Raw genomic sequence first — 12,780 nt, forward strand, 5'->3', positions numbered from 1 at the left:
ACTTGGATGCCTCTATTATTGTACACCTTGAAGGTGAGGTTAATTAAGTCGTGTTGTGGGGTTTCAGGGCTGGAATTTAATTTTTCGAGTTTTATTTAATGTTAGGAGCAGATTGGGTAATAAAATGTATATTGAGAATAAGACGGCCTTTTGACATTTTAGGGTTTAGGGCTGTAAAGCGTCTCAGGGATGCTGCCGAATGAGCCATGAACTGGGCTGGGTTTTTCATATTTGATGAAAGAGCCTAAATGCTCACGATTTGGGAGAGGTCTGATAAGGAAAAAGGAGCATTAACCTTGACTATGCCTTTAGCTTCAGCCACCTTTTTAAGAGGAAATTGCTGGGCAGGTGGGGGAGGGCTACTCACGGAATGAAACTGTAAACCGGACCAGGTGTGAGGAGGGGAGGTGATAAAAAGATTATAGGGTGGAGGAGCGGAGGTTGAGGAAGAATTGGGACCTAGCTCGGCCTGGCGAGGAGCAGCCTGGGGAGGAGGGGAAAGGTCAGATGGGTCTGTAGAAAAGGAAGATTAGAAAGACTCAGTGAAGCTTGGGGTTGGGATTGAGGGGACAGGCGGGAGGGAAAAAAGGAAGATTTGGGACGAGTTGCACGGGCACAGAGACTAGGAAGGGACCAATGTGTAAAAGAATGTCTGGTCGTCAGGCACCTCAGACCGTTTGCCTATTTTATGACAAGAATTATTTAGATCTTGCAGGATGGAAAAATTGAAAGTGCCGTTTTCTGGCTATTTGGAACTACTGTCGAGTTTGTATTGGGGTCAAGTGGCATTGCAGAAGAAAATAAGGCATTTAGGTTTTAGGTCAGGTGTGAGTTGAAGAGCTTTTAAGTTTTTGAGAACACAGGCTAAGGGAGAAGAAGGAGGAATGGAAGGTGGAAGGTTGCCCATAGTGAAGGAAGCAAGTCCAGAGAGAAGGGAGAGTAGAGACATGGAGGGAAGGGATTCGGGGGTTCTTACCCTCCAGAAAAGCAGGAAAGGGGTCAGGGCACAGAGATACGAGGTCAGGGCATGGAAATAAAGGATAGGGGTGCAGAGATATAAGAGGTTGGGGCATGGAAATAAGGGATCAGGGTGCAGAGATATAAGTAGTCGGGGCATGGAAATAAGGGATTGGGGTGCAGAGATATGAGGTTGGGGTACTTGCCACTCTCCCAGAAAAGCAGAACTTGCCACTAAGGGTGAAGGAGAAGGGGTTGGGGGTTTCTTGCCCCCCAGAAAGGAGGAGAAGGGGTAGAGACACAGAGAAGGGGTTGGGGTACTTCCCCCTCCCCTAGAAAAGCAGGACTTGCCACTAAGAGTGAAGGAGAAGGGGTCAGGGGTTTCTTGCCCCCCAGAAAGGCAGAGAAGGGGTAGAGACATGGAGAGAAGGGGTTGGGGTACTTGCCCCTCCCCCAGAAAAGCAGGACTTGCCGCTAAGAGTGAAAGACCAAGGCAGGCATCCCTGTGTGGTCTGACACCTCTGAAACCTGAGTGAATAACTAGAGAGGCATCCCTGCAATGATTAAACACCAAGAGAAGGCTGCCTTCCCTAGTCCATGACCGGCGCCGGAGTTTTGGGTCCAAGGATAAAATGTGTCTCCTTTGTCTCTACCAGAAAATGAAAGGAATTGAAATTAAGAGAAGGGAGAGATTGAAGTGTGGCACCAAGATTGAAAGGAGAAAGAGGTTGAGGGATAGTGAGGGAGGTTGGAGAAGAGAGTAAAAAGAGGCTGCTTACCAGATTTGAAATTGGTGAGATGTTTCTTGGGCTGGTCGGTCTGCGGACCTGAGGTCATAGGTGAATCTTTCTCATGGAGCAAAGAGCAGGAGGACAGGGGATTGATCTCTCAAGGGAGGCCCCCCGATCTGAGTCACGGCACCAAATTTCATGCGTGTCCGTGTGAAGAGACCACGAAACAGGCTTTGTGTGAGCAATAAAGCTTTCAATCATCTGGGTGCAGGCAGGCTGAGTCCGAAAAGAGAGTCAGCGAAGGGAGATAGGGGTGGGGCCGTTTTATAAGATTTGGGCAGGTAAAGGAAAATTACAGTCAAAGGGGATTTGTTCTTTGGCGGGCAGGAGTGGGGGTCGCAAGGTGCTCAGTGGGGGTGATTTTTGAGCCAGGATGAGCCAGGAAAAGGACTTTCACAAGGTAATGTCATCACATAAGGCAAGGACCCGCCATTTTCACTTCTTTTGTGGTGGAATATCATCAGTTAAGGCAAGGACCAGCCATTTACACTTCTTTTGTGGTGGAATGTCATCAGTTAAGGTGGGGCAGGGCATATTCACTTCTTTTGTGATTCTTCAGTTACTTCAGGCCATCTGGGCATATACATGTAAGTCACAGGGGATGTGATGGCTTGGCTTGGACTCAGAGGCCTGACAGGGACCACACGTGTGCAGTGCACCACTATGCCCAGCTAAGTTTTTTATTTTTAGAGACGAGGTTTGCTATGTTGCCCAGGCTTGTTTCCAACTCCTGAGCTCAAGTGATCTTCCCACCTTGGTCTCCCAACGTGCTCGGATTACAGGCATGAACCATCTTGCCCAGACCCATCCCTTGTTTTTTTACCTATCAGATGAACTCTCTTTGTTCCCCATGTAGAGGCAGAGACTATTACCAGTGACATTCCAGTTCATTTCCTTTTTCAAATTCTTTTCTGGATTGCTTCTCTTCCTTTTAACAAAGAGGGAAAGTACAGTTCAGTGGGGGCAGGAGACATGGGCCTAGCAGGCAGTCTGTGCCACCAGGCTGTCAGCATTAGGACTAAGTCTCTCACAGACATTCTAGAGCTGCCCCTGGGGCTTTGCCTGCTTTGGCCTCAGGACAAGTGATCAGTGAAGAGCATTCCAAGGAGTTGAGTCTACCCTTCAAGATTCCTTACATATTTTCTGGAAAAAAAAAAAAAAAACACTTGGTGCCTTCAGATTCATATGCAAAGGACCTCTGTGCAAATGAAAAGCCTAGTAATTATCAAGAATACGTATCATAATTTTACAATTTAAAATATTTACTTAGCACTTTAAAGTCTTGAAACAAATTATTGCCTTAGGTTGTGTTTTTTAAAATAGTGAAATAGTTTAGGTATTTAAGTTCTAGCCCTCGCAGTAAGCTATTTTTATATTGATTTTTATCTGTGCCAAATATGGTGCTAATAGCAAGCAATGGGGGAGAGTATTATGTGTCTATTGACACTGCATGAAGTATAAGTTCACCATTATTGTGTCTACACTTATAGCATGGATTTGCCCAGTGCTGCTGAAAGGATGCCCAAGGATGTCTTTCTCCTGAATGAAGTCTCAGTGGCATGGCAGTTTGGGAAACGTTGGCCTAAAACAGAAAACGTCTTCCCAGGTGTGGGGGTGTTAGAGCAGCAGAACAATGCAAGGAACTTCAAAACTCCTGATGCCCAGACTATACCCTAGTTAGACCAACTGAGTCAGAATTCCCCGGGGTGGGCGAGACTTGAGTGAGAACCTACTGTTAGGAGAAAATATGTCTTCTCTCATTGTTTCCATTTCCCCCTTGTTCTGGGCTCTGTGGGCAGGAGAGTGGGAAAAATAAAAAAGAGGATGAAGTGGGGCCTTTAAAATGTCTTGGAGAATAACCACCACCACCACAGGAAGTGCAGGGACCCCGCTCCCCCTAGTGGCGGTGTGCCGGAGGCAGCTGGAAGTGCCTGGCCGGCCTGGCCGGCCTGGGCGTTATGTGTGTTAGGAAAGCCGTGTGTCTTCTGCAGGCTTCCTTTTTATAAAATGTGTATTCTATTTATGCGTATTTATTTAAATTTTATTATGTTTACCTATTTATTTATTGTTTATAAATATATGCTTTCTGTATTTTTGTATTTTATGTTTATATAAAGGTGTCCACTGTGGAGCTCTCTAACATGTTCTGAGTCTAGAGGAGGCAGGTGAAGGTGAAGGCCACACGGTGACCCCAGATGCTGTTCCCTGGGTGGGATCTGATGCCTTATTCTGAAAACGTGGGGCACAGTGGCCTGGCTTTCAGAGCAGATCTGACCTTGGAGTGGATTGGTCCCCATCCCTTCAACACACACATATACACATTTCCCCAGTTCCTGCAGAGCAAAGATATGCCTGCTCCTTGATAAAACTTCAGCATTGGTCCTGGTCATTTTTCCCATAAGACTTCAACCAGGATCCTTTTGTGTCTTTCTCCTTGTGTTTAAAGCCAACCACATGTATTTTGACATGTGGACCTTTTGTACAAAAAGCCGTGATATCCTTTATCCCCACTTGGGTAATATTTCCTGCCCTGGGATGCGACGTGGGGTAGAGGGAGGGTGAATTCTGTCCTGAGGCTGCTGTGCCATATTCTGCTTGTTTGATTGGGCTTCTGCAACCTCTACTAAGAAATATACACTGCAAAGCAAGGTGAAGGGCAACAGCCCTGAGCACCACTTCTAGCAGGTGCGGAGAGAGATTCACAGCACCTGGCCCATGTGTCTTCCCACTCAGATACCAGTGGAGGCCCACGCACCATATGTCTGGATACCTAAAAGTTTTACATCAAGCTAAGAGACTGATGAATTAATATGTTCCGTCCTCCTACTTTTCATAAATATGTGTAAAGATCTGAGAGGCCAAGCTCAGCTGCAGCCTTCTTGGACTTCTCAGAGTTCTCCCCAGAATGTGATGACCTGGGACAGCTAGGGATCCCCACTGGCAGCCCACTCACCCTCTTTTCCCATCCCCTGGCTTCATCCGACCCCACAAGGAGCCTCCTGCACATAGGCACACTGGCTTCCCTATCCAAGCCCTGTCCACACGAGCTTGTAAACAGCCTCCTTTTGGGGACCACAGGGGCCTAGACAGATTTATAATGGTAGCATAGTCTCCATGTGGAAGATGGAGATGTAGAAGAGTCCTGTGTAGGTCTGGAGACATGTGAGCAAAGAATTACTGCATCTCAAGTATCTGGAATGTGGAGAGAAGGGAAGAAATGGGTTCTGGATGGGCTCATTCCATTTTCATCGCTATACAAAGAAGGATTTTTAAATTTTTTATGTTGGAATAATTTTAGATTTACAGAAAAGTCACACATATAAGCAAAGAGAATTCCTGTATACCCCTCACCCAGTTTCTCCCATTGTTAATGTCTTACATTACCATGGTACATTTGTCAAAACTAAGAGCCCATTATTGGTACGTAACTGTTATCTAAATTCCAGACATTCTTCAGACTTCACCAGTGTTCCTATTGATGACCTGTTACTTACTATTCTAGTATCTGATCCAGGACACTACATTGCATTTAGTTGCCATGTCTCTCCATTTGCTTCTGGCCTATGACAGTCTTCAGTCTTTCCTTGTTTTTTGTGACCCTGACAGGCTTTAGGAATGCTGTCCAGGTATCCTGTAGGATGTCTCCTAATCTGGGTTTGTCTGATTATTTTGCTTATGATTAGACTGGGGTTATGGAAGGAACACTGCAGAGGTGAAGTGCCCTGTTTCTGTCCATGCGGGCTGCTGTGCTTTCCATCTCAGGTACAATGGTTCCCTGCAGAGGTCCAAACTCAAATGTCTTCAAAAGCCAGGCAGGTAATACAACTGAGGTGAAGAAGTGGAAAAGAGCAGGATCAAATGACAGAAAGAAACAAAGGGCAGTGGCAAAGCTGAGAGTGCTTCCTCAACTGAAAGGGCTGCAAATTCATGTTTTGTCTACAATACTCTGCTGGTCAAATCAAACATTCTGTAGGTTGGCTCAGGCTCCTCCACGGTAAAAACTTGGTGCCATACTCTTAAGCATATACGGTCATACAGACAAGACCGAGGCTAGTCTTTCTGGGCTATACTAACCCTTTTCTCATGTCAGCAGCTTTTGTCCTGAATGTAGCTCCTTGGTAACATTTCCTTGGAAAGATCTGAAAAAGAGCCTTCACTTGGAAGCCAAGAGCTCTTGATCCCAGCAGGTTACTCACTTGTCAGTGTCCATGTAGCTGACTCACCTTAGGCCTAGATGTTAGAATCCATTTTCTTACCAACCTCACACAGTTATAGTGCAACATGAGTCATTTGTTGCACTTCTATGAATGAGTTATTGAGCATTTCTATACATGCATTTATATATCAATCAAGATAGGCTAGGTTACGCTGCGGTAAAAAAACAACCCCCAGGTCTCAGTGGCTTAACATTACAAGTTTCACTAGGATGAACATACATTGTCAAATTGTGCCTGTTGTCCCTTTTACCCTCAAAATGATCCAGTTTGAAATCCTAGTTCTCCATGATACTACATGTCCAAAGCAAGTCAGAAGAAGGGTATGAAGACTCAAGCTGGCAGAGGCATCATCTTGACACGTTTTCACCAACATTTGGCAGTGGGAAGGGAGTGTAGCAAATTGCACATCAACTTTTAAGGCTTCCACTTACAAACATTAACTGTAGCTAATCACATGGCCAAATCTAGCTTCCAAGGAGGAAGTGAAGTTCAATGTCTAGAAAATGAAAGCCAGAAATAATTTGTGAATAATACTAACAACTGGATCGGTTAGGATCAAATGTTTCATGTGAAAATCATCAAAACCATAATGGTATTTGGCAACTGTCAATGAAGATGATGTTTATAAATGCTTCAGCTGATTTTGTCAATGTGGAGATTAATTTTATATGTCTACTTGACTGGCTTAAGGGATGTCCAGGTGGCAGGTAAAACAATATTTCTGGGTGTATCTCTGAGGATGTTTCCAGAAAAGATTAGCATTCGAATCAGTGGACTAAGTAAAGAAGCTCTGCCCTCACCAATGTGAGTGGGTGCCATTCAATAGTTTGAAGGCCTGAACAGAATAAAAAGGCAGAGGAAGAGTGAATTCATTTCCTCTGTTTGAGGTGGGACCTTCGTTTTCTCCTGTCCTCAGGCATCAGCGCTCTTGGTTCTCAGGCCTTCAGACTTGGGCTAAATCATATCACCAGCTTTTCTGGTTCTCCAGCTTGCAGATGGCAGATCATGGGACCTCTTGGCCTCCATAACCGTGCGAGCCAATTTGCATAATGAGTCCCTCTCATCTCTCTCTGTCTCTGTCATCTAATTATCTGTCTCTTAGTGGTTCTGTTTGTCTGGAGTACCCTGACTAATACACTTGGGAATATTTATCGTGTTACCCTTATAGGCCATGTTTCCTACTCCCAACACACGCACTGGATATTATGAAAAGGAGGTGCTCTGGGACTCCATCTCTTTGTGGCCTTGAGTTGGCTTCTGCTCATCTCTGCCCATATCTCACTCATGATACCACGCTGCATTCAAATTCCTTCACCATAGTTCTTTCTATTTCTTCATCCATTTTTGGTTATTCTTGATTTTTAAGAGTGGTAAGGCATTTCACTTATACCCTTTCTCTCTGGCCATAACTTGTCAGATAGAAAAATATCTTTTTCAAATTTATCCCAGCCATGGAAACTCCTGTTCTTTAAGATTTTTCTCAATGCAGTATAGACAGTTTACACCAAGCATTTTACAAAATATGTTTTAATAGGCCGGGTGTGATGGCTCACACCTGTAATCCCAGCACTGTGGGAGGCCGAGGTGGGTGGATCACAAGGTCAGGAGATCAAGACCAGTCTGAACAACATGGTGAAACCCTGTCTCTACTAAAATTACAAAAATTAGCCAGGTGTGGTAGTGCACACCTGTAATCCCAGCTACTCAGGAGGCTGAGGCAGGAAAATTGCTTGAAACCAGGAGGCGGAGGTTGCAGTGAGCTGAGATTGTGCCACTGCACTCCAGCCTGGGTGACAGAGACTCCGTCTCAAATATATATATATATATATATATATATATATATATATATATGTTTTAATAAACAACTATTTTGTTTTGTTTTGACACGGAGTCTCGCTCTGTCACCCAGGCTGGAGTGCAGTGGCACGATCTCAGCTCACTGCAAGCTCTGCCTCCCAGTTCACGCCATTCTCTTGCCTCAGCCTCCTGAGTAGCTGGGACTACAGGCGCCTGCCACCACGCCCAGCTAATTTTTTGTATTTTTTTTTTTTAGTAGAGATGGGGTTTCACCATGTTAGCCAGGATGGTTTTGATCTCCTGACCTCGTGATCCGCCCACCTCAGCATCCCAAAGTGCTGGGATTACAGGCATGAGCCATTGCGCCCAGCCAATAAACAACTGTTTTAATGAACAGTTTGTTCAGAAAACAAATGCAATATTTAGACCACAAGAAGTATGAATCCTGCTACTGCCCTCTGCTTTAGTTAGGCCACATCTGGAGCCCTCTGGTCAGCTGAAGCCCCACACTTAAAAGGTGGCCTTTCAGTGGATCAGGAGCGGAATGTCTAATATAAAGAAGTATGTTGGAAATGTGATTTAAATAGGAATGGGAATATGTAGGAGGCTGGCAGTGTGTGCCAAAGTAAGTACAGTGCAAACGTGATAGGAGTTAACATGGTCCCTGTCACTAAATATTTGAAGTGCCCAATGGAGTGTTGTCCTGGTATAATACTTTAGGGTGGTGCCACAACTTCTGTGGTTGTTACTTCCATTTATCTTAATTGCTGTTGTTTCTTTGAAGGATTTCTGATTTTATTCAATTGGCTCATTGTTCAATGTATAAAAAGAAAGGATTTTTTAAAAGGCACTGGAAAATTTCCTTTACTACTGATTTCAGAAACTGATGATGAATGGCTTTTGCAGAAAATTGATATGAGCTGTTTATTAAAAAAAATCCCAGGACACGCACTTTGCCTGACAAATCACCATAATCTGACCCACAAGATCTGATTTTCAAAACCTTGAGGAATATTTTACATCACTGATGAGAAAAGAAGAACTTATTCATTTATGACCTCCAACATCTATGTTAATTGACGGTTATATCCTTTTGCAGTTAATATATCTATTAATATACTCACAAGCATGGAAACTGGCCAAAACAGTTAGGCAATGAATGCTATTGCAAACATAGACATATATTTTTCTCAGTAGGGTTGTCCATTTCCTGCCATGGTTTAAATGCCAAGTGTGTAAATAAAAGGACAACAGGATGACATAAAAAGCGTATCCTATAGTGAAAGACCTTTCTAGGCAATAATAAGCAATCTTATATACCTTGGTCTCCTAAACTTGGAAGGCAGTCAGTTTGTTTCTTAGAATCCTAAGCAACTATAAAATGAAATAAAATTTTAATGCCCTGTTAGAAGGGATGAATAAAAATCCATAAATAAGAAAATAAAAAAATCTTTACTTTGCACATTTGCCATTTCCCTATCCAGTCAGCTCTTTTTTATCAGGCCTAGTGTTTGAAGCAAAATGAAATTGATTCATCTGCTTTCTCGGCCCCAAATGGTAATGTTATCAAGAAGTGAAATAGAGGACTAGAAATAGAAAAATGGAGAGAAATCATGGACTTTGAAGTCTAGCACTTCTGGCCATTGGATAGCTAAGAGTTGCCTGCAGCATAATACAAGTCAGTCCTCTAAGTCAATCAAATTCCCTCCTACTCTTCATCTTCTGGCTTTTTTTTTTTCCCATGAAGTCTTCTTCTCCTCTGCCTATATATAGGGTACTCCATGTCCTCGTTGGCTCTTTTCTTTTCTCACACACCATTTTCTTTTTTGGTAATGATATATAGGCTTGCACAACTTCTGCTGTCATCCCCAGGCACACAATTCCCCTAAATCAATGCCTTCAATCCAAATGCTCTTTTGAGCTCCAGACCCACATTTCAAACAGTGTTCTGGGTAACTCCATGGTCATTTGATGGACATCATAATATCACTGCCTAGGCAATGGTGCCTGGCATCCAGGAGCCTGGGCTGGATAGACATCATGAGCCTATGGCCAGTGTTCACAGAGCAGGTTCAAACTACACAGATCATTCAAATTGCTCATTATTCTGAAAGAGCTGGGCAGAGAAAGGGGAATCTGAATGGACATAAGACTCTGTGAGAAAAGCAGAAAAAACAGATAAACATCAGAAGGCTTAAAGTGACTATGAGAAGCAAAGCTTATAGGGATTTACCAAGTTGAAGAGGGTAGTTGCGAGGTTCCTACTAGAGCATCTATGCTCTTACATGGAGCTGTTCCTTCACTTCTGTGGGTTGATCAGAGATGGAACACAAATCAAGATGGATCAATGACATTCCACCTAGGACTTTTAGACTTGGAATCAAGAAAGGACAAAAATAATTTCTCTAATAGCTGAATTCTATCAAATGCTTTACTAGAGAAGTAGAGGATAATCAACAGGTAAAGAGGAAAGAAGGATGCAGTTGCTTAAGATGAAAAAAGAGTTCATGGCAGCATTCAAGTTCTCAGTTCCAATTGACTCTGAGACTCTACCGTATTACTGCCCTTTGCAATACTTGGTTTTTCCATGATGTAGCACCTGTGATACCCACCCCCATGCGAAGGTTAGGTCAAGTTCATCCTTGAAACCAAAAGAGTTTTATTGAAGACAATCACCAAATCCTGCTGACACTCTTCAAATGAGTCACATGTTCCTGTTTTCCTTTACCTCTGCTGAGTGATGTGCCTCTGGGGGCACAAGGATGTCTTGCTTATCTTTATGCCCTTTCCAAGATAGCATAATGCCTAGCACAAAGAAGGTACTAAGAAAGCATGGATTGGGATGGTTTCCCTCTGCACTCTCCAGTGGCCTAGCTATGCTTTTACAGCACAGCGACTCAGAGATCGCCTTGATGTAGGAGCAAGACTGTGACCTAAGAGGCCTGGGCATGATCTTGTCTCCACCATCCAAACCTTTCCATCATCACATTTGTTCATCATTTCTCACTACCCCTTGTCCATGCTAAGACAATGAGGCTATTTCTTCTCCATCAACTCTGTGTTTCTCCCCAATAGACTGTTTTCTTAAACAGAACAGTGAAAATAATTATCAGCCTAGAATGACAGCCTAACATGTCCTTTCAGCATGCACCATGTGAAGAAGACAGGAAGTATGGGGCAAACAGGAAGAGTAGCATAATACAGGCCGGGCAGCATCTTGGGAAAACTGTCAGAAAGACCCACGTCTTATATCAAGGTCTTCTGTCAGCCCCCTGCCTTCTGTTGACCAAAAGGTTGGGTTCGTCCTGTGCTCTTCTCTGACACTCCCTCCTCTTCTATTTCATTCCAGGGCATTCAAGTCCAATGATTTGTTTTAGAAATGCTATCATTTGTTAGCTTAGCTTTTATCTCGGTTGGATGCCTTTCCTGTCTCACTGCTTTCCTTTCAAGGAGGCAGAGCCAACAGTTGACTGAGAGTTTTATTCAACACACCCCTGTTGTTAGATGAAGCTGGAGAAACTTTTATTAACAAGCTTACTCAGGACTTCAGCCATGGTGTAGGGTATGTGTCTGCCACCTGTGTCTGGCACCCTCTGAAGCCTGAATAAGAGATAAAGTGAGTGGAGCTTCTGTTTGGAATACCAGCCTGGTAAATAAACCCCAGCAGGTGGGGCCCAGAGGATGATTTGCTTTTGTCTGTGTGAAGCAATTGCCTTTATCCAGGTTGCTCTAAATGGTGATGCTAGAGACATTATGAGAACTCCGAGATTTTTGTGCTGCTCAGGCCTGTTTCTGGTGATGCAGAGTCCATCTTCCCAGGTGATATAGAATTCCTTATTGGGAATTCTGGGGACATGACCGATGAGGCAGAAACAAAAGGGAAGTCAGAAATACAGAGATGAGATGATGAGAAAGAAGTGCCTGCAAATAATTGGCAAAGAATAGAGCTGTGGGAAATATTGGTAATCATCATCATCAGCATTCTAAAACTTTATATTTGAGTAGTGCTTTATAATTTTTTAAACTTTATTTTTACAAATTAGTTTTGTAATTATTACTCACTCCTTATCACAAAACCTTGAGGGCTAGAACCCCTCAGGATGGGAGAGATCATGATATAAAGGCACTGATAATCTGTATATACTATAGAAGGCTGAGACCATCAGCCCAGGCTTATTATGGGTAAAAGGGTTATAAAGCAAGGGCTAAAAATGAAAACCTAAAACATTATAAGAACTGAAAGAAAATATAGAAAACAACCTTAGTATCTTGATGGAAAAAGAGGGCAGGTTTTGCTTATCAATTCACAAAAATCCAGAAGCCCTACAGGAGAAGACTAACAGATTTGACTACTCCAAGCTTTTTTAAAACATTGTTTTCTATTTTTCATGTATAAGGCTTTCTTCAGATATCTGTGGATCTTTGTCTATTTGCTCATGATTATAAATGGAGAAAAGAGCTGATTAGAAACTGTGTATCTGCATAGAGCTTATTTATTCCGAACATCACTGTTGGATAAACTGGGTAGGCCATTTATTAAGCAATTCCCACTGTCAGTATCTTAGGCCAGAAGTCCTAAGTAAGTCTCACTAGGCTAAAATTAAAATGCTGGCATGGTTTTATTGCTTTCTGGAGGCTGCGGGGGAAAAATTGTTTTCTTATCTTTTCCAGCTTCTAGAGGCTGTCTGTATTCCTTAGCTCCTGGCCCTTTCCTCCATCTTTAAAGCCAGCAACAGCCACTCAAGTCTTTCTCACATTGCGTCACTCTGACATTGGTTCTCCTCCCTCCCTCTTACACATTTAAGAACTCCCGTGACTGCACTGGGCTCACACAGATAATCCAGGTTCATGTCTCTCTCTAAAGTCAGCTGATTAGCCACTTTAACTGCCCTGTGCTATATAATCTACTATATTCACAATTCCAGGGCATAGCATGTAGACATCTTTGGGAGGTTTTTATTCTGCCCACCACAAGTGTATATATACTCATAGGTGTGTAAATATGTATTAGTCTGTTC

General features: G+C 43.2%; 1 long non-coding RNA gene across 1 annotated transcript in view, besides 2 other annotated features; it reads left to right on the forward strand.

Moving 5' to 3' along the window:
- The window catches only part of SLC7A14-AS1 (SLC7A14 antisense RNA 1), a 287,921-nt gene that overhangs the window by 219,638 nt on the left and 55,503 nt on the right, over nt 1–12,780 (forward strand). The window lies entirely within an intron of this gene.
- Nucleotides 1,569–2,141: an enhancer, noted in NCBI's record as "OCT4-NANOG-H3K27ac hESC enhancer chr3:170406280-170406852 (GRCh37/hg19 assembly coordinates)". NCBI's record gives its function as "activates a minimal SCP1, AML or CMV promoter by ChIP-STARR-seq in primed H9 embryonic stem cells {active_cell/tissue: H9 hESC(primed)}" and the evidence as "EXISTENCE:reporter gene assay evidence [ECO:0000049][PMID:30033119]".
- Nucleotides 2,142–2,714: an enhancer, noted in NCBI's record as "OCT4-NANOG-H3K27ac hESC enhancer chr3:170406853-170407425 (GRCh37/hg19 assembly coordinates)". NCBI's record gives its function as "activates a minimal SCP1, AML or CMV promoter by ChIP-STARR-seq in naive H9 embryonic stem cells {active_cell/tissue: H9 hESC(naive)}" and the evidence as "EXISTENCE:reporter gene assay evidence [ECO:0000049][PMID:30033119]".

This window comes from Homo sapiens, chromosome 3, assembly GCF_000001405.40.
Source record: "Homo sapiens chromosome 3, GRCh38.p14 Primary Assembly".
NCBI classification, from domain to species: Eukaryota; Metazoa; Chordata; class Mammalia; order Primates; family Hominidae; genus Homo; species Homo sapiens.